This window comes from Homo sapiens, chromosome 21 (genome assembly GCF_000001405.40).
Source record: "Homo sapiens chromosome 21, GRCh38.p14 Primary Assembly".
Taxonomy (NCBI): domain Eukaryota; kingdom Metazoa; phylum Chordata; class Mammalia; order Primates; family Hominidae; genus Homo; species Homo sapiens.
In genome coordinates, this window is record NC_000021.9 from 6,672,224 (window position 1) to 6,697,671 (window position 25,448).

The following is a 25,448-nucleotide window of genomic DNA, read 5'->3' on the forward strand; positions in this document are numbered from 1 at the left end:
GGATAGAGTGCAAAAATTTTCTTTCACTCTGTAGGTTGCCTGGTCACTCTGGTGATAGCTTCTTTTGCTGTGCAGAAGCTCGTTAGTTTAGTTAGATCTCATTTGTCAATTTTAGCTTTTGTTGTGATTGCTTTTGGTATTTTATTCATGAAGTCTTTGCTCATGCCTATGTCCTGAATGGTATTGCCTAGGTTTTCTTCTAGGGTTTTTATGGTTTGGTGTTTTACATTTAAGACTTTAATCCATCTTAAGATAATGTTTGCATAAGGTGTAAGGAAGGGGTACAATTTCTGTTTTCTGAATGTGGCTAGCCAGTTCTTTCAGCACCATTTGGTAAGTAGGAAATCTTTCCCCATTGCTTGTTTTTGTCAGGTTTGTCGGAGATCAGATGGTTGTAGATGTGTGATGTTATTTCTGAGGCCTCTGTTCTGTTCCATTTGTCTATATATCTGTTTTGGTATCAGTACTGTGCTGTTTTGGTTACTGTAGCCTTGTAGTATAGTTTGAAGTCGGGTAGCAGGATGCCTCAAGCTTTGTTGTTTTTGCTTAGGATTGTTTTGGGTTGACAGGCAAACAGGCTCCTATATTTGGGGTCACGTGCCCAGAGTATCACAGCTAATTCAGACGTGAGCTGAGACTTGAAATGCACGTGCTCTTTCCCTTACCTGGGTCTGTTGTATAATGCATCTTAGCAGCTATGTAACAGTACGAATTAGAATATTTAGACATCTTTTTAGCAACTTTTTAACCTGCATTTTTGTAACGCGGTAAAGACCTTCATCCCATCCCTGAGCCCCTCTCTCACAACACTGCACCCCACTGCTGACCACACTGTTGTGTGACCATTAGGAATCAGGGGGGCAGCGGGGGCTGGAAATAAATAAGAAAGGATTATGTTTCCCAAATTTGCTCACCTTAGAAAGTCTCCTCAACCATTCTGTGTGAGGTGATTTTTCCAAGGTAATTGTGCCCTGACTGCGCTGGATGTCAGTGTGTCTTGTCTTTTTGAAAATCACTGGATTACTCTCATGAACGGGGTATTTCTCTTTCTATTTGAAAATGGTCAACTGTCCTCTGCAGGTGTCCTGACTTGCTAGTTTAGACCCTGAAGGTAGCGGTGAGAAAATATTTGGGCCACATCAGAATACCTATTCTCAGCTGGAGGATATATAGAAATTTCTTAATAATATCTAACCATTTTCTCAATAACCATTATATTTAACATTGATAGCTTGGAGGGCAGGGAAGGACACAGATGACACAATCTTCAAAGTTTAATTTAGTTATAAGGTTTTTTTTTTGTTCTTGCTTAGTTTTGCTTAGTTTTTGGATACAAGGTCTTGCTCTGGTGCCCAGGCTGGAGGGCAGTGGCATAATGATAACTCATAATTTGGTTGTAACGGTTCTTTAAAATATATTTTTGCTGAGAGTGCTAGCTCATACCTGTAATCTAAACACTTTGGGTGGCCAAGGTGGGATGATCGCTTGATCCCAGGAGTTCAAGACGAGTCTGAGCAACATAAGTAGGCTCAGTCTCTAGAAAAATATTTAAAAATTGTCTGGGTGTAGCTTTGCATGCCTGTAGTCCCAGCTACTTGAGAGGCTGATTTGAAAGCATCACTGGAGCCTAAGAATTTGAAGATGCAGTGACCCATGATTCAGCCACTGCATTGACAGAGTGAGATATGTGTGTGTCTGTCTGTGTGTGTGTATAAAGAATTTGTATGTGAAAAAAATTCAAGCACAGGAGAAAAGTGAAAGCCCATGGTGGGGGATGTGGAGAAAGGTCACTGTGGCTCCAGCAACTCAGTGAGACTTGGTTTTCCATCTTGAAGAATTGCCCATCCACACTGACACCATAGCCTAACATATGCCAGTTCTCACACTACACCTGCTGGGATACCAGTATGTAGCCTTTTGAAAAAAATAAAATCTTTCACCTAAGAGAAGGACAAGAGAAAACGAGGGTTTCACATCTAAAGCCTTCATTTTCTTTATGAATCAACAGCCACTTGTCATTTCAATTGTCCAGAGGCGACTGACAGCACTAATACACTTAATGAATCAACCAGGAAAAATGGGCCTCTCAGGTGAGGAGGAGGCACAATCGTCACAAAACCCAATCCGTTCTCAGCTTTGCATGGTGCTCGCATCTCAAGAAGTGGTGTTAGCCATGTGAACCGTGTTCACTGGACAAGGCCAGAGGAAAGAATATGTAGTACAACACAACTATGGGGCTGCAAATCAAACTGGTAGTGAGAGCATGCATGAGGCTTCAGTGGCCGAGACACTGGTGGCTACCCTTCGGTGTCACTTAAATCTTTGAGGTGAAGGACATCTTTTTCCCAACTGGCTCAGAGAAACTAATCAACATTAAAATTGAGATTTGTTTTTCTTTTCAAAATTTCTAAGACATAGAGGACTCTCTAACACTCCAAAAGACATTCAGCTATACATGCAGCTGAGGACCTGCCTGCTCTGTAGAGGGATGGCAGAGCAGCAGCCACCAGCTTTAGTAGCTTTAAGCTCCTCTTCTCATAGGAACAGGCCACCCCCACACAACCCCCCTAACTTCATAGGCTCTGGCTGTCAGGTGCACCTGGGGGACTGTCTTCCTCCCATCTCATTAGCTCTCGAAGACAGTTCAGCTCAATGTAAAACCTACCTTAGGATGGTGAGTTGTAGGCTCTCCTCTATTCTCCCAGCGCAGTGTGACTTCTGGAGAGTGCTTCTCCATCCTCTTACCTCAGATGATGTGAAAAGAGCCGGTTCCCGGGCAGTTAGATGTTCAGTGACATAACAGGCCCAGCATGCGCAGGGCCTGGCCCCACAACCTGGCACCTCTCCCTTACCTGGCCTTCAGGCTGGACTTTTCTCTTCTGCCACAAATGTCAGGTGATGATCACCTCTGCCACACTCTCATGAGCTTGGTAAGTATCAGGGGTGTAAACCCCAACAGATTTCCTGTGACTCTACCCTCTTACCACCCACTCAAGTGACATTATAAGCATAATTTTACATTTGATATTATTTATGCGTAATTTTTTTTATAACATTTCTGACAACAGCCCACACAACGAAATGAGTCTGGGTTACAGAACACACGGGCGAGGCTGGGGTAGCAGGCTTCAATTACTTTATTCCAATGTGAAATGAAGATTGATGATTTAAAAACAAGACAAAGTTGTTTATCAGCTGTGGGGTGGCTACACTTGCTAGCTCATGCTCACTTTCTTTGAAACAAGGTATCTGTACAGACCATACTCATAAGTAGCTCTTCACAAAACCCCAGACAGAAGTCCCAGTCAGACACAGCTCCCTCAGGCTCACAGGGCAGCAACCTCCTCCTCCATGTTAGGCTCTGACAGCAGGCAAGGGAAGAAGCACAGGCAGCAGGGGACAGGGAGATGTCCCGGACTGTAGGGATCCCCAAATGCCCCAGAGCTATTATCTGTAGAAGGGTGCACGCAGGTCTCACTCTGACAGTGCAGTGGCTGAATCATGGGTCACTGCAGCCTCAAACTCTTAGCCTCCAGTGATGCTTTCACCTCAGCCTCTCAAGTAGCTGTATGGCAAAAAGCCTCCTATTTTTTTACTTAAAACCTGGACTTCAAGCCAGGTTGGACCTGGGGATAGTGGCAGCAAAAGCAGCAGCCAAATGTATACACTCCAGATGTCTACACTCATGGGCACAGGCATATTCCACTCTTGCTGGAGCACGAGAGGCCTGAGAGGCACCTGTTTCCCAGTTGCTAACTGATGCCCACACACCCCATTCACGTGTCTTCATTTAGGTCTCTGCATCGTGTATTCCCTCAGCCAGTGCAAACACATCTTCTGGGGGGCATCATTAATTGCAGCACCTGCCCCTCTTGTTCTGGGAGGGAGTCAAGAGGAATCTGGTCAGCTCCTAATCCCCCAGGACAAAGGTGCTGCCCCCTTTTCAGCACTCACATCCAGCAATGCCATCTCTGGATGGGTTTTTCAAACACAAGTAGCATGAGGTAGCAAGCATGGTGTGACAGGCTCAGGGCCATGGGCAGCCGGTTGCTGGAGAAGCAGCACAGGGCAGGCACATCTGTGGGTGGCACCATGACAAGCCAAGGCAGCCACAGCCCCTAATCCCAACAGCTCCAGCCCAGTTGGCATTCAAATCTTCCCAGATAGTATTGGGGTACGCGATGCCCATCACTCGCCCGCTCATTAGCACGGCCTTGTTGGTTACTCAGAGACTAAGGAGAGAGAGTGGGGGATGTAGATCCAGGGTGGGCACCGCCTTGCAGCCAGAGTCCACCTGACTGCAGGCCAGCAAGCAAGCCCAAGCAGCTCAGCTCTAGTCACCTCTGGCTGTACTTTATGTGTATACTTTACACAAAGGTAGCAAACAGAGGTCAACATTAGCTGTTGTGACATGAAAGTCTATGCCTCATTAAGACCTTAAAATGCTGTTGTCTTAAGCTCTCTTTATTCCACTAAAATTTATACAAATAAACACATGCAAGCTGAAACTACTATAAAGGAAATATTAGGATTTTTTAAACCCATAAACAGACATGAAAACAGTCACTGTTTGATTGCAGAGAAAGTGAGCTTCTAAAGCAGCTGACCACAAAACAGCCTCACCAAACCCCAGGCAGGCCAGGCAGTCTGAACACTACAAGGCCACGTGATGGTCACAGAGGATGACAGCTCCCGTGAGTATTGCAAGGCACTGTGTTAGCTTCTCACTCACAGTCTCAGAATACCCTGTGAGGGGAGGCCCCGTCTCACTAGAGCACAGGAGGTTCCTGAGCTCTTCCCAGAAAATGGTCATCAAACGATGGAGCAGAGGGAAGCCCAGACAGAACAAGTGAGTCCCTAGGGTCTCCTTAACCTCCCTCAGCTCCTCCACATGGGTCCCTGAGGGAAAGTGAGCAGCCTCCTAACCCCCTTGATAGGGTTCCAGTCCTGCAGGTCGGACTCTCTCATTTTATGCTACCATAGGGGGTGACAATGCAACCCCAGGCCCCTTATTTGCCATCCCTCAATGCCAGGCCAGGCCCAGAGCCCTTTGCTAACACAGCCCAGGGGATGCTCAAGGCCCACCTCGGCACAGTCACCTGTAGTGTACTGAGATGAGCAAGGAGGTGCAAGTAGACACAAATCCCCATGGGCTTGGCCTCAGCCATGTTCCACAGGCTCAGGGCCTCGCAGATGAGCTCACAGCCCTCCTTCAGGAAGCCTGCAGATCACACCCTCAGGGAGCAGTGCTCAGATGAGCAGGCAGGCCCCACATCCCCCACCCCATGACGCTCTGTTCCACTTTGCAGGCTTCTGCATTGGCCAGTCCCCACTGCTTTCTGGTGAGATGTCCGAGTTGAAGTGAATGTTGAAGGCCACACAGCTGATGGAGCTCACTGCCTTGCACATGTTGTAAATCACCTCCTGGCTTCAAGGGTCAGCTGTGGAGACACAGCTTGATGGGAGGTAGGCCCACTCCACCATCAGTGGTGCTGGGTTGCCCTGATCTGCACCTTCCAGATACTTGCTAAGATATCTGCATGCTTCTCTAAGGGACTGGGTCACGAGACACCCCTGGCAAGGACCAGCTGGCAGAACAGGCTGGACACTCTCCCTCAGCCTCCCCAGCAGCCCCACCTGTGCTGTCATCTGTGCTGATGATCTCCGTGGTAAGATTATGGGAAACTTTTACAGCAAGTTTTCCTTTCTCACTTCCCTATCTTAATAACAGCACTGATAACTTTTAAGCCCTAGCAAGCTGAAACTGCAAGACACATGATCTTCTGCCTTAGAAGGGCCATGTTTGGGCAGTGGGTGCCCAGGTGAGAGCCCCATGGTTGTTAGTGGCAGCCGGGAGCTGGATGGGCCTGCCCCATAGCCTAGTGAAAAGTGGGACCCTCTCCTTCCAGAGCATGGAAGTCTCAGAGGCTGGAAAAAGGTGCCTAAGTGGCCTGCCAAAAAGCATAAGGCTAGAAGGCCTGGAAAGAGCCCCAACAGCCTTCAAGCTGCCTGAGAGGGCTGGGCTCATTCCAGCTTTCTTTGCTTTCATCCTGTTAGCAAGAAAACCTGCTCACAGATGGCAGGCGGGCCTGAGGCTGCCATTCCCTCATCAGGGGCTATAGGCACCTTTAATGTGGCTCTTTCTTGAAGCAGCTGCTCAGGCCGGTTCTCGAAGAGCAGTTCCCTCATTATCCACAGGTCCTTCTTCCAGCCCCGTGTCTGCAGAGGGACTAGGGAGGGAGACAAGGGCTCAGCCTGTGCCCCACAACCTGCTTTGAGACATCTCTTTTGTTACTTCCTCACAGACAGCCTGAAACTTCCAAATGAACAGACCAGAATGGAGCCTCCAGGAAAGTGTACAGAATTCTGTCTAGTACCCAGAAGGAAGGGGGTTCCCAGTGAAGGCAGGGCCAGGCTGCATGCACCTCTTCAAAAATGTTCTCCTCATAGTCCACGCTCAAGGTGTACATCCTCTGTGTGCTTGCAGTCCATGGCAGCCTCTGCCTTGGGAACAGTCCAGCTGCACACCTGCAATATGGTGGTGACCCTCTTGAATGGATGGTTCTGGGCCCCATTGCAGACAGCAGATAGGGAGATGCTCAGCCCATCAAGCCCAGAGCCCTGCCACAGGCTTCTGTGAGGCCTCCACCTGCTCTGGGTTCTTGCCCTGAGAGGCTGCCCTGAAGTCAAACAGAAGCAGGTGGGACTCTCTTCCACAGCTGCTCTCTCTCCCACTGACAGCTCCCTAGAGGGTAACTCAGACAGAGAAGATAGAATTCTCAGGCAGAAGGACAGGAGTTTCGGCTGCCGATTCATTCCATACCCCCACATGACATGACACAAGGCAGGGGCTGTGGGACAAAGGCATTGCCTTTCCTTCTGGCAAGAGGAATGCCTTAGGAAGCAGGTCTGGTGGGGCTAGGGTTGAGCGATAGGCTTCAGGCCACAAGGAGTGGATGGACACTGAGCAAGTATCCTGGTTATCTGTCCACAGATCCAGAACAAGTGGCATCCCAGGAGCCTGGGAGGGGCTGGCAGAGACTTACTGTGTCCAGCAAAAGCCCCATGTGGATGCGGTAATGCTGCCTGCTGGTCCTTGTCTGTAATTACAAACAGGTACATGAGGTCCCCATGGATCTTGCAGCTCTCAGGGAGTGGGTTCCAGCTGCTCATGTTAGGCACTTTTAGTCACTGAACGTGCTTCAGGAATGGCCAAGTTTGATTAAGCCAGGCGTCTTGCTGTGAGACCCTCCACCCAACTGAGGACCCTCTTCCTTGTCCCCCCTGACAGTTTACCTTCCAGTTCTGGTTCTGGAGACACGATGGCCCTTCTTGGGCCCCTGGGAGAATGTGCTCAGATGACACACAGTCGACAGGGCCCATTTCCAAGCCATTCTTCCATTTCCCACTGTTTGAGGGGCCGAGGCCGGTGATCAGCACAGGGCCACCCAGGGCCAGCTGTCTGCACCTAAACGTCATGTTGGTCTGGATGTCTCAGGGCCAGAACTCTCCAGGTAAGATGGCCTGGTCCTCAGCACCTGGCCTCCATGCTCCTTTTTCCTCTGTTCAATCCTGGCCCCAATGCCTCCCGCAACTCTCAGGTCACCATTGGAGAAGATGCTCAGGAAGAACAAGGAGCTGCAGTCAACCCTGCTGAAGGTGGCATATGGGTCCAGGCTCTTGAGCTGGTCTTCGACATGGTACATGTGGATGCAGGCTTTGAGCAGTGTGAGTAGCTCTTTCCGGAAGGAGGGGAAAACGGTGTTACCAGGGTCCTACACCCTAGAACGACCCATCTAGCACAGAAAACAGTTTGCAACGTGCTATTATGTGTGATTTTAATTTTGGGCTTTAGGCTTTCATTTCCAAATTCCACAATAAACACATAAGGTGGGGTTCTGATTTCAACACACACACACACACACACACACACACACACACACACACACACATTCTCTCTCTCTTCCTCTCTCTTAGAATCTTCCAGTGAATTCACACTGAAAGCCGAAGTCCTCCCAGAATCTTGTGAGAACCTAAATGATCTGAATAGTTTGTCATTGCTTTTAGGGATCTGGGAAAATCTCTGCACATTTCTGGAGACCGCTGTTATGCCATTTTTAATAAATCTGTTGTGCTTCAATTCAGAAGTGTGTGAGGGGAGTTGTGGAGGAATTGGCATTTGGGTTAGAAATTCCAGGAACAACAGAGACAGATGACACCTGTTTTCTGCTTCATAATGTCAAGTTTTATGAAGGCTAAAACCTAATTCTACAAAAAAAATTAGACTGAAAAACTTTATAGGCAAAAATTATCTTATTAAATAGGAAAATCTAATTATTTTATTTTAAAATTTTCTTTTCCTTAGTAGGACCTAATCATAGAAATTTAAACACTGTATGCCAACAGCCTCTACTGTAGGATGGTTTATTGTAAGTACTCATTTTACAGATTTCTTACAAAAACTTTTTCCGTAAGAGAAATTAGAATATTGTTCAACATATATTGAATTCACAATTATTACCTTATTTCTCACTTATTATTTTATGATTCTGTTTTCTTTAATATGAAGATTACTATGACTGTGTTTTCACTTTCTGAATTATCATGTGTCACATTTTTCTGTAATTTCAGTTTGAGAAGTTGTAAAACAGCATGCTCAAATGTATATGTTATGTATCAATTATATAATTAATTATTAAAATATTTGGCTTGTATGTTTAATTGACTCTAGGCACAATATTACTATTAGCATTTTCTTCCAGTTTTCCCAACTTTTATTTGACTAATAGTACAATTTATTTCCAGTTTTTATTTTATCTGTCAATGTTTTATACTGTATTTACAATATTTATATTGTTACCATATGTAAAAATGTAAGACCTTTCTATTAAAGGCTAGATTACAGCCTTACCCTTTTGTGTAAGGAAAGAAGCAATGCATCAGTAGCATAATTTAAAACTTTCTCTAGTATTACTTAAATTTTTATTCCTTAAAACTTTCTCATCACATCTCTTTTTAATAATTATAATATGGTTTCTTTGAAATGTTGTTGCCCTAATTGTATCCAAGTAATTCAAAATTTATACTTTTTATGGATTCAAAGGAAGAGTTGAAAATTGTAGTTACCTAGGATTCTTTTTCAGTTGGACACTATGTTTATTCAGGATTTTATAGATCAAAGTTTCTCTTAATTATGTTTTAGAATTTATGTTTCTGTATTTTTTAGAGTAGGCTGTCTCACAGCAGTTAATTGTGTTTTTACTTTCTACCTATTTATTATGATTTTGAATTACATTATTCAAGTAAGAATTCGGGGAAGGTTTCTTTTAAGTTTGTTTTGCAATTTTGCATTTCTGTGTTTCATGTTTTAGGGTAGGGCACCTTACATCAGTTTATTGTTTTTAGTTTGAATTTATATAATATAATTTTCTATGACAATATTCAAATCTGTACAGCTTAAGACAGTGTGAGGCAAAAAATATGAAGCATCCCTATGGTCTTTTGTTAATATAATGATTTAATTGTTTGTTTGCTTGTATAAATATTGCCCCTATTTTGTTTATGACTTGTGTATTTTCTTCTTGTTTGATGGACAATAATTGATTCTGTCTAAGTGAGTAATCATGGAAATTGTCTTAATTTCAACATCTATTGTTTATATTATCCTAGTGTGAAAGAAAGACTTATGCGATTTGAAGATAATTTTTCAAAAACTTTGTAACTCTCTCTCTTCAGGTGTCTTTACTTATTTATTTTTTGACAGACTCTCACCCTGTCGCCAAAGTGCAGTGGCACAATCTTGGCTCACTGCAACCTCCACCTCCCAGGTTAAAGCAATTCTCCAGCTGCTGCCTCTTGAGTAGCTGGCATTAAAAGTGTGCACTACCACGCCTGGTTAATTTTTGTGTTTTTCATAGAGCTGGGGTTTCACCATGTTGGCCAGGCTGGTCTTGAACTCATGGCCTCAAGTAATCTGCATGCCTCAGCCTCCCAGAGTGCTGAGATTACAGGCATGAGCCATCTCTCTTGGCCCTTGGGTGTCATTTTTAATTTCGATTGTGGTAAAAATACATAACATAAAATTTAGAATCTTTAATATTTTTTCTTATACAGTTCAGTCATGTTAATGTATTTACATTGCTTTGCAACATATTTGTAAAACTTTTTTCTTTTGCAAAACTGAAACTCAGGACACATGAAATGACAACTACCCATTTTCCTTACAACCTGGCTCCTGATAAAAATCATTCTATTTTCTGTTTCTAAGTTTCAATACTTTAGATATTACATATAAGTAGAATCATAGAGTATCTGTTTTATTGTGACTAATTTTACTTAGCATCATGTTCTCAAGATTTCTCTTTATTGTGGATGGTACAAGATTTTCTGCCTTTAAAAGCTGAGTAATATTCCATTACTTTTGTATTACAAATTATATTTATTTATTCATTCTATGAGGAAAGTTTGTGTTGCTTTCACCTATTGGCCTTTGTGAATAATGCTGCAATGAATATTGGTATGCAAATAGCTATTTGCTCATATGTATGAGGTTTACATGTGTGCTACCTTCTGTTTTATTGGAAAAATTGTCTGTCTTTATGCTAGAAACAAACTGTTTTCATTGCTGTTGCTTTGTAATGTGCTTTGAAATCAGAAAATTGAGGCCGCTAACATTGTTTTTTTTTAAAACATTTTTGGGCTCTTTATGGTCGCTTGACATTCCATATAATTTGTTGGTTCCTTTTTCTATTTCAAAAACATTGCTAATTTAAAAGGGATTGCATTGAATCTGTAACTCGCTTTAGGCATCATGAGCATTCTTCATAATATCAAGTCTTACAACCCTTAAACATGAGCATGCTCAAAAGTGAGTTGTTTAATTTCCATATATATGTTGCTATTTTTGTTTTCTTCTGTTATTCATTTCTAGTTTTATTCCATTTTGATCAGAAATAATAGTCACTGAAAGGCTAAACCACTCTGGGAAGTGACCCCCATTATAGAACATTACAAAGAGATGTGAGGGCACCACTTCTGCCCTGATGGGCTAGAGGGATGTGTTCTCTGAGATGACACGTTGCAGACAAATGCAGGGAACAATATAACCCCCTTTTCATGTAAACTCTTCCTTATTTTTCTAGAGTATTAGTGATAGTGGTGGCTTTGAAGTCTTGGGGAAGGTCTGGCAGTGCCGTGAACCTGCCTGCTACAGGTGATACCAGGGGGGAAAAATTAAAACCATACAAACTGTAGAAACATGAATAAATACAGCCTAGTGTAAAGTAAAAACAACACAAAGGCCTTCTCTGATATTTCTACAAGAATGTAAAAAGGGACTTTACACTTAACCAAGCTGCCTTTGGGACTAGTTAAGGCTAGATTTTTGGGAGGCACATCTTTGGGTCACTCATGGAAATCCCCTAAGAGAGAGCCCAGAGAAATTCCATATTTGGGTCTGGATCCTGGGCCCATCCTGGTTTTGTCAGACCCCTGTCTGTAGAGACCCCCATGTGCCTGCTCTCACCGTAACTCACTGTATGCCATGCTTGGGGGTGTGGTGAACCTGCCAGTTGTCCAAGGAGATGGGGGACTTGAACCCATCAAATATCTGCTCAATGATTTTAATGAAACTCTACAGAGAGTGTTCCCAGCAGTGAAGCAGGAAAAAAAAAAAAAGAAAAAAGAAAAAAAATTAATTATCTCCTTTGTTTTTACCACCAGGTGACATCTCCATTAGAAATTCTGTTTCCTAGATCAGGAACATAGGAGTATCTGCATAGACCCCCAGCCAATGAGGAAACCCGAGGACAGCTTAAGGCCTTGGGATTCACATCTGAGTAGACACACTTGGTCCACAATGCTCAACTTTTTATTCCACCAGCCATGACCTGGGTATGAACATGACATAGCCGCCAGGGTTCCAATGCCTTACAGCCTGCCCCTGTGAGAAAGAGCCCCCTCCTTTCCTGCTCCCCCTGCAACACATGGTAATGGTAGACAGGGTCGGGTTGCCCAGATTAGATGACACGGGTGGCCTGGCATGGACGGACCTGACCTGGGCTTCACTGTGTTACCTCTGTTTGCCTCTTGTTGAATGGCCAGTGGTATCAAGGATGTGGGCTGAGCCAATATGTATATGGTCAGAAAAGTCTCTCACTTTGAACCTTTCTCAGGCAACAGCTTAGGAATATAGCACACAATGAGAACACAGTACTCTCTCAAGCATCTCCCATGAAATTAGCTAGATAGAGGGCTCTCTCTAGAATGTGGGTTTCTGTTTCCCAAAGTTCTAAATTCTGTTAGGTTCTGTCACAAGGGAAGTCTGTTAACTTCTTCAAGGTTTTATCCCCTGAGCCCTTTTCCTCCATAAATCTATGCAAAGTCCCTACTGGGCTGCTGATTGCTCACCCTCATCTCCCATGTCAACTCTTTTCCTGTAAACAGTTATGCAAACACAATTATGCCTCTTACTCCCCAAAAAGATCTAAATACAGCCAGGGCCCCAGGTTTGAGAGAACAGAGTTGGATTAAAATCTTCTTTTCCTTTTCATTTCTGTGACCATATGAAAATGACTGTGTGCTTCAGTTCTCCCCAGCCCTGAAGTATGCATAATGGGATTAGGCTAGCATCAACTTCCAGAAAGAGTCATTGGCGATATATGAGATAGAATGAATCAAAATCAGTTGGATGTAGTTGCTCTTGCCTGTAATCTTAGCAGATTGGTAGACCAAGATGGGTGGAACACTTAAGGCCAGGGGTTTGAAACCAGCCATGGCCAGCATGGCAAAAACCCTTCTCCACTAAAAATGCAAAAATTAGCCAGATGTGTTGATGCTTGCCTGTAATCCCAGCCACTCAGGAGGCTGAGGTGTAAGAATCACCTGAGCCAAGGAAGCAGAGATTACATTGAGCCTTGATCATGCCTCTGCACTCCAGCCTGGGTGACATAGCGAGACTGTGTCTCAAAAAAATATATATACTATGTATATATAATTTATATTTATATATTATATATAATATATAAACTTATACATATACACCTTTATGTATAAAAGATATATATTTCATATATCTGTATACATAAAAGATATATATTTTATATATATGGCCTTATTTTTCCATTCTACAGCAGAAGAGGTTGAAATCAAAAGAAAATCAGATACTGTATTCTGGCATTAAATATTCCAGTGCTGTGCATTATATTTGGAATCACATGTATATGCTTCATCTCAGCCTATGTGGTGGGCACCCCCAACAAAGTCTCACAACAACACTAAGTTGTGAGTGACTCTGTTATTTAAAAACGCAGCTCACCGCTCAGTGCCTCAGAAGCCGGTACTATAACACCGGGTTTCCAACAAAGACATTGGATTCCAGCTGAAGCCTCTTTCCCTGTGCTTACTTAAAGGTAGTAATATTCTCAGAAAGGTTTAAGAGGTGGCTTCTTGTTTAGCAGGGAATTGCTGAAAGGAAAAATGTATGGAAAGTCACTGGGCATGAACAGCCATCTTTTCCTGCTACACACAGGTCATGTGCAAATTTGGGGACAGTTAGTACAAAACATGTGATGGAAATTTGGGCTCTTACATCAGTGAGCTTATTTCACACAGACTCCAGTTGACCATATTGGTTCCAACCAATTTTAGCCACTTTTTAGAAGTCTCATAAGTGGAATAAATTTCATTCTTTCAACAAGTTCTATCTTTTCTTATCTGTCATTCTGCAAACTGAAGAATTTCTGCTAGTCGTTGGTTGAACTCTTTGGGGACCTGGTTCTAGTTTCTGTCAAAGAGAATACAACAAATGTGATAGGTTATCACTTCTGACTTAGTTCAGGCTTCTATACCAAAAAACATAGACTAGGCAACTTATAAACAAAAGACTTTAGTTCTGGAGGCTAGAAATTTGAGATTGGCTTCCAGCATGGTTGTGGTCTGGTAAGGACTCTCTTCTGAGTTTCGAACTCCAGACTTCAGGTTGTATTCTCATTTAGCAGAGAGAAGGACAGACAGCCTTCTGCGGTTTCTTTTACAAAGCCAGTAATCTCTACCACGAGGGCCTCATGCTTAGGACTTAATTACCTCTGACCTGCTAAGGCCATTAAACTGGGGATTAATGTTCTGGAATGTGAATATGGTGGGGAATCACATAGTCTACTGCAACTTCCAAAGTTATATTTCCAAAACAGCTATTATTTTCCTCCCACTTGCTCTGTCCTGTGTTTCGTCTCTCAATCTCTCTGTCTCCCTTTCTCTTTTTCTGTGCATATGTCTGTCTATCTCTTTCATTTTCCATCTCTCTATTGTATTCTTCAAGATGAGGAAGCGATCTCCAGTGTCCTAAGATGCTCTAGGCACAGACCCACATGATAGAGAACTGAGGAACTGCCCAGGCCAATCAACAGGAAGAAACTGGTGTTCTCAGTTCACACTGAATCCTGCCAATTTCCATGAGGCAGATTGGAGGCTGATCTCTCCCCAAATCCAGCTTCAGTTGAAATCACAGCCCCAGCCTCATAGGGGACCTTGAGGCAGAGGCACCCAACTAAGCTATATCGAGATTCTGATTCACAAAAATTGTGAGATAGTATTTGTTGTCAAAATGTGCTAAAATTCAGGGCAATGTTGTCAGAGAGCGGCAAATGACTAATCTCCTCTTTCAGGCCCCAGGATACACCCTCCCCTCTTTTCCTTTCTTTCTCAGGCTGCCTACAGCCACACTTGTCCCTTTATAACCTCCTCTGCTAAACTGACTTGTGCCTCTGAGTCTTTTCACAAAGAGTGGCTTTTCCCTGACACACTTTCCACACCTGCGCAGTTGTCATTCTCGTCACAACATAATGTCACCTCAGGGAGGCATTCATGTCTCCTCCAGGCAACCTCTCCCCAGCCCTCCCTCCCAACATTCTACTTTATTTCCATTATAAAATGCTCTTTTCTTTCGCATGTACTTGCTTTAGTGTTTTTGTCCTGCCGTCCTCAGACTGTAGGCTCCCCGCGGGGATGCAGGGATAACATAATCGTTTTTGGTACCACATGGTGAACCTACCAAGGTAGCTGCCACAGGGTGAGTGCTAGGGGAAGAGTCGCTGAGTAAAATAACATGGAAAATCACAAAGTCCTTCCTGCTTTCGGTCACCCAATAATGTGGAGATCAAGAATGATAACAGGAGCTGCAGGCCCTCAGCCTGTCTCTCCCACGGCTCCAGCTACTCCAGTCAAGTCCAGCGGGCACAAGAAACACGGGGTCTGCAGCCACCTAGAGACCTCCGCTAGCACTGTAGTCCCAGGCAGAAGCATCACAAAACAGGTACCTGCACTGGGGAATTCTCAAGGCAGTGGCTCTTCAGGGACCCCTGGGAAAAGGAGCAGTATCTGAAGGCTCCAAGGGCCATAAAAGTGACCTCGGAAGCCTCCCTTGATTCCTATTTTCCTCAGCCTCTTTGAGTGTGCTGTGCACTCATTAAACATTTTAACAGCATTCGGCGACATTATTTTCTTCCACTTCCGAATGAGGACCTCAAGGACAGCCCAAAAAACTAGTATTTTTTCTGGGCCCCACACTCCAGAGCCCAGTGCATTGTCACATTGTGCTTTATTCCAAGTCCTCATCCGCCCAAGTCTCTAGGCCTCTCTCTTCTCTGAAGGACCTCTAGAAACTGAAAAGCCTCTTCCCAGAGTCTCAAAGCACAGTGATTTACCAATGAAAAGCCAAGGGCGGCAGACACCTATGAGTATCTAGAATCCTTGGTATTATTCCTTCTCAGTACCCCTATTTATGAGGGAGAAAACAAAGGCTTTCTTTCCCGTAGCCTGTCTTTATATCACACGGGGTGGTGGGTGGAGGGCATAGCTCATTTTAGTTCCAGGTGCCCACAGAAGTGGGAGTCACAACCCCAGTCCTGTCCTCTTGAAACAGCTGGGAAAGTCCCCAGGCTTGGAAGAACCCAGGGAACCTGGAGGATCCTTCATCGCATGCTGTCAGCTCCTGGTCATGTAGCTGGGGGAGTGGATGCCTCTGCCTCATGGCAAAGCTGCATCTACTGTTTCTTCCCCTTTTGTCACTTCTTTGGTTTCCTCTTCCCTAACCTCACTTTAGAATCTCCACTTTAGATCTCCAATTTAGAAGCCTGTGTGTGTGTGTGTGTGTGTGTGATGTGTTTGTGTGTGCATGCCTGCACGCCTATGTGACAACATTGAAGAGTAGAAAGCCCAGGTAGAAAGTAGAGCACAGGGTTTTCCAGGACTCATGGGCTCTCATTTCCAAAGCAAACCTGATGGGTGGGGTGCATGCAAGGCCTAGGAAGCTGGATCCCTCCCTAATACTCTGTGCTTTGCCCAATTTGTGGGATCTGGACCAGTCTTTGCCTTTTTGGGAGGTCTCAGTCTTCCTGTTGTAAAATAAAGAGTTGGCTACAAAACTGTATGAGCACATGCTCAGTGAAGACAGGGTGTCATGCTCAATACCACAGAGAATATTGGGATGGGGAAAGTTTGGGCAGACTTAGGTGTCCATGCGTGCTCAGGCCTCTGAACAGGGCCAGTGCAGGCAAACATAAAGCACAGCACAGCCAGGTTTTCTTTCCAGGGCTACAGGATGAAACAGTGCACCACAGGATCTGCTCTTGAGGTCGGTCCCGCAAGATTTTCCCACCTTCAACCAGCAACTGTTTGATGAATTTCATGTCCTGTGAAGCCCATATCCACCCCCATTACAGTGAGGGGCACAGGGCACTAGACCTGTAAAATAATGTCTTTTGCCTTTTTTTCTTTTCTTTTCTTTTTCTTTTTTTTTTTTTTAACTGAGTGGATGTTTCTTCTTTCTCTTTATCTGTTTTGTTTGTTTTTTAACTAATTTTTAAGAGGTCTTTACAGGTCAGCTGTGGTGCCTCGCACCTGTAATTTCAACACTTTGGGAGGATGAGGCAGGTGGATTATTTGAGGTCAGGAGTTCAAAACCAGCCTGGCGAACCTGGTGAAAATCCGTCTCTACTAAACTTACAAAAAAATTAGCGGGGAATGGTGGCCCAAGCCTGTAGCCCCAGCTACTCAGGAGGCTGAGACAGAAGAATTGCTGAAACTTGGGAGGCGGAGGTTGCAGTGAGCCGAGATTGCACGACTGCACTCCAGACTGGGTGACAGAGTGAGTCTCTGTAAAAAAAAAAAAAAAAAGAGAGAGAGAGAGGGAGAGAGAGAGTGCTCTTCATGGAAACATGAGCCCCTTTGTAATTTCATGTGTTGAAAATATTTATTCCAATTTTGCAATTTCTTTTCTTATTGTGGTGTTCTCTTTAAGTTTGGTTTAGATGTTATTAGTGTTTCTCCCCAAATTGATTTATTGATTTCCATTTTCACAATACAATATTTTGGCAGAAATCTTGTGGAAACTGTCTAATCAGTTTAAAAATTTAAATACATATTAAAAAATCAAAGAACTGTAAAAACTGTCCTGAAGAATGACAAAGTTTGTGAGCTTACAATGCCATATATTCAGACTTAGATTAAAGCTATAGTAATAAAAGCTATCTATGGTAGTAATGCAAAAATAGGCACAAAGAAAACTAGAAAAACTCGAGAGTCCAACTCAGACTCACACATTTAGACATTTTGTATATTACAAAACAGGCACAGAAGAGCAGTGGAGAGAAGACAGCATCTCGGTAATTAGCCTTGGGTCATCTGGTTATTTATGTGAGAAAGAAATAAACCTATCTTATATTGTTAACAAATTTCGAGACAAGTGGATTTTAAATTTTAAGGTGAAAATTGAAAACAATATTTCTAGTAGATAACATAGATAAGTATGTCCATGACTTTGGCACAGGCCAAGATTTCTTGGGACACAAAATGCATAAATTATCAAGACAAAAATATGACAAATTGGACTTTATTAGAATTAAAACCTTCTCTTCATAAAAAAAAAAGCTTCAGGAGAGCTGAAAGGCAAGAACAAAGTGGAAATCAACATTTGTCATATATTGATCTGGCAAAAGCTTTTTATCTAGATTATTAAGCTAAATCCCATCACTTAATAAACAAAGATGCATACATTGAACAAAATTGGCAAAGATATGACTAGGAGTTCCACATACAGAACCGAAGGGCCAACAAGTAGATGAACATATCCACATTCTTATGCATCAGAACAATGCATATGAAAACTACAATTGAATACCACTATGCAATCATTAACATTTTTGAAAACTGACAAAATTAAGTATTAGTGATGATGTCAAGCAACTGGAACTTTCTTATACCATTCTGTGTGCAAACTGTTATAACCACATTCAAAACCACTTGAGTAGTAACTCCTTACATACACGATGTACATAAGCACACTCTAGAACCCAGCAACTCTGCTACTAGGTATATACACCCAATAGAATTGCCAGCATATTTTCCAATGTAGTAAAGTGCTCGAAGTAGCATTATTTGGTACTTTTCCAAACTGAAAAAAACTCAAATGTGCATCAATAATAAAATAAATAACTAAAACAGCTACATATTCCTTTATAAGGGGACATTATACAGATATAAAATTAATTGGAGACATATTAAAATATACAAAAATCTAACAAATACAATTTAATTAGATTTAAAAGTCCTATCCAGAGCAATCGGCCAATAAAAAAGAAAAAGGCATACAAATAGAAAAAGAAATTGAATTCTCTTTCTCCATTTGCAATATGAGTCACTACGTAGAGAATGCTAAAGCCTCTCCAAAACTACTTTTGGGGAAAACTTGAAAAGCCTCCTGAAACGGATAAGCAAGTAAAGTTTTAGGACACAAAACCAATGTACAAAAATAAGCAGCATTTCTATGCATCAACAACTTTGAATTCCTGAACATCTTCTGGTTTTATTGCATTTTCAATTTTTTCCCTCCATTAACTATACATTTTTTCTTTTTTCAGCTAAACTAATTTATTCTTCTGTATAATTTCACCTTGTTAATAAACCCCAGGCCAAAAAGTGGGAATAAAGTATTTGTCTGCATCCTGTTTCCTCATTTTGAAAACTAGTCTAGACGAAACCTATACTTGTTCTAGGGAGTTGGCATAGACAGCATTTATTTCCGTTCTCAGCAGTGATGCCAGCCAGAAAGAGGGAGTTCCCCATTTTCACTTTGGTTAGACAGGACTCTGGATGGTTGAAGGGGAAAAGTTTCAGACTCTAAGGGAGCCAAATAGGATATTACAAAGATTTATGCATTTACTCCGGGAGCAATTATTGTGTTAAATTTTGTGCAAAACACTGCGCAAACAGCAATTAAAGTGAAAATTATTAAGGCATTACCTTTACCTTGGGAAACTCACACTAGTCAGATTCTCCGAACCCCAGAACATAACAACAACCTAGTAAAATCTTGTTCAGAGTGAAGAGAGGGTGGGAGCAGGAAGGTAAGGTTAAAAATTAGGCTGGGTGAATGAGATAATTACCCCTAGTCAAGCAGTGGAAGTATGGATGGCTTTGGGATGGGTGAAGACAAAAGAATCTCAGCAGAGGGTGCAGATAAAAAAAGGCAGAAACACAGGAGGCTTATGCAGGAAGAGGAATGAGTTTGCTGGACTGGGGAGAGTGACAGTAAAAAGCAGAGGATAATAGGCATCTCTGGTCATCTAGGGACTATAGGGTGGATTAGTTGGGGGTTACAGAATCAGTGAGGTACTTTTTAACAGTAGGATGGGTAAATAAGAGCTATAATTTGGAATAATTATGTAGCAATGGTGGTTAGGAGCAATAGAAACTCAAAGTATTACATAAATATGTTTTTTTCTTATTCTCCCACACAAGCCTTTCACCTTCCCTCTTAAACTGAGAACGGAGTGGTTTGCTATGATGTTTTTAAATTCTCACAGGCAAGCATTACTCTGTGCTGCCTTTTAATAAAGGCTAATTTTAACCAAATTAAAGAAGATTGAATGGATTTTCTTGATCATAATGGTTGAGTACAACATCTCTTACCTTCTACTAGTTTTCAGTATAACTGAAGTAACAGAATGTCAATACTCCATGGAGGGGTGTTCCTCTTGCTAAGGCTCCCTCCTCTGGGCTAGGCCTTCTACACCATGGCTGTCCTGCTGTGGCTGGAGCTGGAATTTGGATTGACCTCTGTGTGTCTTCCTAGCACACAATAGGTGTCCAATTAGCATGGGCAGAATCAAGCTCCTCCCTCTCACCATTTATTTCTCCATTTGTCCCTTGTTGGGAATGGAGAGTCCTGCCACTGAGTTCAGCCCAGGGTTGAAGTTCAAATCTCAGCTGATACTTGGTGGATGTTGACTTTTTTGAGAAGAACTTGGGAGAATAAAACATTATAAAGGCGCTGGCCAGGCACGGTGTCTCATGCCTGTATTCCTGGCATATTGATTGGCTGAGGAGATAGAATTGCTTGAGGCCAGGAATTTGATACCAGCCTTGTCAACATAGTGAGACCCCATTTATACAAAAAACTTGAAGCATTAAAAACATTTAGCCTGGTGTGATAGTTCCAAACTGTTGTCTCAGCTATGCTGGACATTGAGGCAGAGGATCACTTGAGCCAGGAGTTCTAGGCTACAGGGAGCTATGATCGTGCTGCTGCACTCCAACCAGGGCAACTATGCAAGATGTTTCAAAAATAAAATCTTTTATTATTCTTCACCCCTATAGTCTCTCCAGAACTTGTGCACTATGTAGCAGAAAGAATCAAACTCCCCAAGAGTTTGGTTCTTGCTTATGATTTGGTTTTCTGCTGCTTGGCTGCCCCCTCATTTCCCCATTTTGTATAAATAAGAACCCCCAGGTGAAGTGGAGTTTCTCCCCAGCAGAGGGTCTCACCAAGGCCCCAGGACTGGCACTTTAGGTGGAGGCTTGCCTTTCAACCTCTGAATAATAATTGATACTAAAATTGAGAAGTTTTCCAGACACCAGCTTCCTGAAAGGAGCACCCAGTCGAGACAAGATGAGGTCAGTAGCGAAGGTGACCCAGGCTGAGTGGGCCGTACATTCCTCTACTTTTCCCAAACTTCCCTCTGACATCCTACAAACTTTCTGTCTTCCCAGGACTTTCTTGCCAGGGAGTCTAATGAAGTAAAAGCTTTAAAATTGCTTTGATTTTAAAAATAATTTTATTGGTTCTTAAAATGTACTGTTAAATATTACTGTTTTTCTTCCCCCAGGGGCTACGTGAACATAAGCTCGGTTTTCACACTAGCAGCATTTAGAAATGTCTCTTCTGGAGGAACACTGATGCTCTCAATCACACGTGGTAATTCTCTCCTCCAGGCACAAAATGCAGTCTCAGCATCTCTGTATCAGGAGTCACTGTCTAAGTCTCTCCAGAGAAATAAGCTACCCAGGCCATCCAGCTGCTGGTGAGTTGCTTTGTGGTCATGAACTGGGTAGATTTCCTCATCTCATGCTCATTGGCCACATTCAGGATTAATGATTCAATGCTTTTGTTGTTCCAGAAGCTGTGGTCAGTGGCTATGCAGGAGTCAGTCTTTCAGTGCTGATCTTTGCTGAGAAAATAATAGTATTGTTCAAACAGTATATAGGATTTGCACTCAATATTTAATAATTTAGTGACAAAAATCTCTTAAATATACATTATACTGATATAAAATAAGTTACTCATCTATTATCAAATTTACTCTTTTATTTAATATAACTCTTGGGATAACATTTTCTTTTATGCTTCCATAAATATGCTTCACATGGATATATCACATATTGTGTATAATTTCACACAGTGTTAATATAGTTTCCATCTATTTAGATGTTTGCACATTTATTTTATCTCAATGTTTGTTCTCAGGAAGAGTGTTTTTCTTTATAAACTAAATTTTCAGCAAATTTTAAATGCATTTCACTGACGTAATTATACTTACATTGTATTTGTGTATTAAGTTACATTTTGTCCTTAAACCTGAAAATAACTTTTCAAATATATGTAATTTTAAATTTACATGTTTTTCCCTCAGAACTTTGAAAACCATAACCTATTGGATTCTTGATCTTATTCACATATTGAGAAATATGTTTCTTTTCATTGCTTTATAATTAATTTGAATTTTATCTTAGATAGCTTTACGTGATTTTCTCTATTATGGTATTATGCTTTTAACTATTGTTTTTCTTTTGATCAGAATGCCTTTAAGCTATTATAATTAATTATTTTAATAATTATATATTTTTATTCCCTATTTGACATTCACTCCATTTTATTTATTCGAACTTGCACTTAAACAACATGACTTATTTTAGATTTTTATGTATTTTAATTTTTCATATTGTTTATTTGTTTTATCCCTATTGGGACTTCTAAATATTCACTTCATCATATCTTCTAATTCATAATTTCTTTTTCAATTATGTAATTTTTCTATGCATTCTATCCTTTAAATTTAAAATTTTTACCTAATTATTTTGATAATATAACTTATTTTGATCTTACTTTTAAACTTTTCCTCTAATATATTTAAACATTATAACTACTTATATTATTTCTACAGTATATATACAATTTTGGGATTTTTTAAGATGTAATGGTACAGCTGTGTTTTTCTTATAATTTTGTTTCTTAATAACTTTGATCTTGATGACTTTTACTTTGTATATTTTAAAAAGAATAGTAGACTTCATTTTATTATAAATGACTGACCTCAATTGATGGGGCCATTGAAGATTCTGGGTCGAGGTATTTTATTCCAGTGAAAAGTTATCTGTAATGTTAATAATGCACCCTTTACAGACACCTGAAAATGATTAAGTCTATATATTTACCTAAATTGTCCTGAGTAAAACACATAGTGTACATATAAACCAGAAACTCATATGATGATTGGTGTTAATTTCCAAATCAACCAAAGAGGAGAAATACCACCTCCACTAACTAACCTATTTTTCTAAACTTTTGAAAATGTAAGGATTCTAGCTTTAGATAGCATAGTCAGATCCAAGTACTCCTGCATCTATGCTGCTGTGACATTATATTCACCAATCAGACACGTTAAATTCTAACAACCTGTGCTTCCATTATTAGCAATTCCCACAGGTAGCATCAACTTCCAGCCTAATTTTTATTCTACAGCTGTGCTTCTTCATTCTTTCCTGAAAAATTATTTGTGGAGGTACATGCCTTTGAAGTTTCTCAGCATATATTGTTATTTGAGGTTGAAAAGATAAGATTATCTAAATTTTTGCCAGAAACTCTCATACCCACATTATATCTTTGAAAGCATTGGTTATCACACTGCTGCTGACATGTGCATGTAGGAGAAGCATGTAAATGTCAGCGCTTTGCAGTCTCTAAGGGGCTGAAATAAACAATACCGGAAATCTTGGCCACTGAGGCTCACATGTAGATTTTCATTCCCAGTCCAGGCATCTAGATTCAGGGGCACCTTCCTGAGGGCCTTTTGGTTGAGGCCTTCTTCAGAAACTTTTGTTCAGATCCCTGTTTCTGGAGAAGAAATGGAACTTTGATAATAATTTTTATAGATTCCTATTAATATTCAATTCTCTTTAATCTTGCTCATACATTCTCCTCTACGCTCTCCTGCCCCCTTTTCCACAAAATTGCGGGCCTGTTTTTTATGAGGGTGCCACCTCGGCAGTGAGACAGTGCCCCATATTTGTGCTGATCCATCTGACCCTTTCCTGGTGCTTTTCCATGAGGAAAAAATGGAACAATGAGGAGTCGGTGCTTGATCTAATGTTGCCTGTTGTTTAACACAATCACAGAAAGGAAGACAAAAAGGCATAACTATTTCTTTGATGTGGGCCTCTTGCTTTAATTTAAAACTCTGATATTAAGCAGGTTAGCTCTTCCCAGCTCAGCTCAGCTCTTGAAATTTCATGGAAGAAATTCTGTTTTTATTGGTCTAAATTTTGTGTCTTTTATATAGAAAAAAGGTAATAAAATTGCATCTTATATTTAAAAATTGAATGCCTTCTGTTTTGCCATTTTACTGAAGAGAAAATTTGTGTAGCCTATTGGCATTATTAACAGTGAAGCTCCAAGTACTAATATTCAGAAAAAATAATGAATCAAAATCCAACTATTTCTCAGTACCATTTTCTTTTTTATAAACTTTCTATTTTATTGTCTGTAATTTAAAAACTTCTGTGGAAAAGAGTTTAAAATTTTCAAAGTTAATACAAAATTATTTTTAGAGTTTCTTTTTGCATAATGTTTGTCGTAAGTAGCTAATATTAATAAATTGTAATCATCAATTCTTATCTAAGCTGCACGTTAAAAAATATGTTAATATTTGCTGCTGCCTAAAATATAATACATATTTACATAATCTAATTTACTAAAAATAGTAATAAACACATATAAATAATCAACATACACAGGTCATTTTTTCTATTTCTTACTTATATTTTATGTTTCATATTTGTATCAGCACACTTTATGTCCTAGTATCATATATGGAAACGTGCCTATTTTGCATATTGTTATATTAAATAATAAGACATATGCTTAGCTTCCCCTAGGTTAAATTTTTTACATAATTGTTATTAACGTAAATAATCCAGAAATTAAAGTTTTTAAAAAAATTTCCAGTGCCCTCACTGTGCATAATATAATTCTATTTTTTAAAGTGTTAGTGCTGTTTGCATTATATAAAAGAATATTTTAGTGTATCAACTAACTACATACCTGAAAGCATGGCTTACTTTTTCATTAGTATATACTTTTGGTTGTACTCGGCTATTTTTCTAAAAGTGCTTGCAAATCAGTTCCAGGCCACAGGGCTTTGTCTTCAACAAAATAAGAATATCTCAGAGACCCACAGAAATAACTGTACCAAGTACTCCTATAAACAGGCTTCTGATAGAATGACTTACATAACTTTGAAACACTATCAGTGGACTAAGTTATTTCTCTAATTCTAGCAGAGAAGCATATGTGCTTACAAGATAGAGTAAAACAAGTATGAATAAAACAGGACTAAATGAACTGACAAAGAATGATAATAGGTTTTGTTTGGAATGTGAACATAAAACATTCCTGCTATTATTTCCTTGGTATCTAAACATGAGCTAATGGGAGCCGTTGTTACATGTTGTACACCCTTAAGAAGGTTTACAGTTTTTCGTCTCACCTATATTCGTAGTTGTCTTTATTTGTGGTTTAGAATCTCAGCTCTTTTCATAGCTGCCTGGCACTCATCTTGTATGAGCTCCTTTGTGTTTCTGAAGCCTCTGGCATACACCGAGGGTGTGGGTTTGCCTGGAATGTAGCATCAACCTGTAGAGAACAGGATTTTCCATGACCCAGTCATTGAATAAACTTGATATCTGCTTCTGCTGTTGAGAAAACATTATTTCTCCTTCAGGAATATCCACCCTCTTCATCAAGAACATCGTGTCATTCTTCAGGGTCACAGAATGCTCTACAGCCTACTTCCTGGTGTCCACCAAGGAGGAGATTAGTTGCATCTGAATTCAAGGAA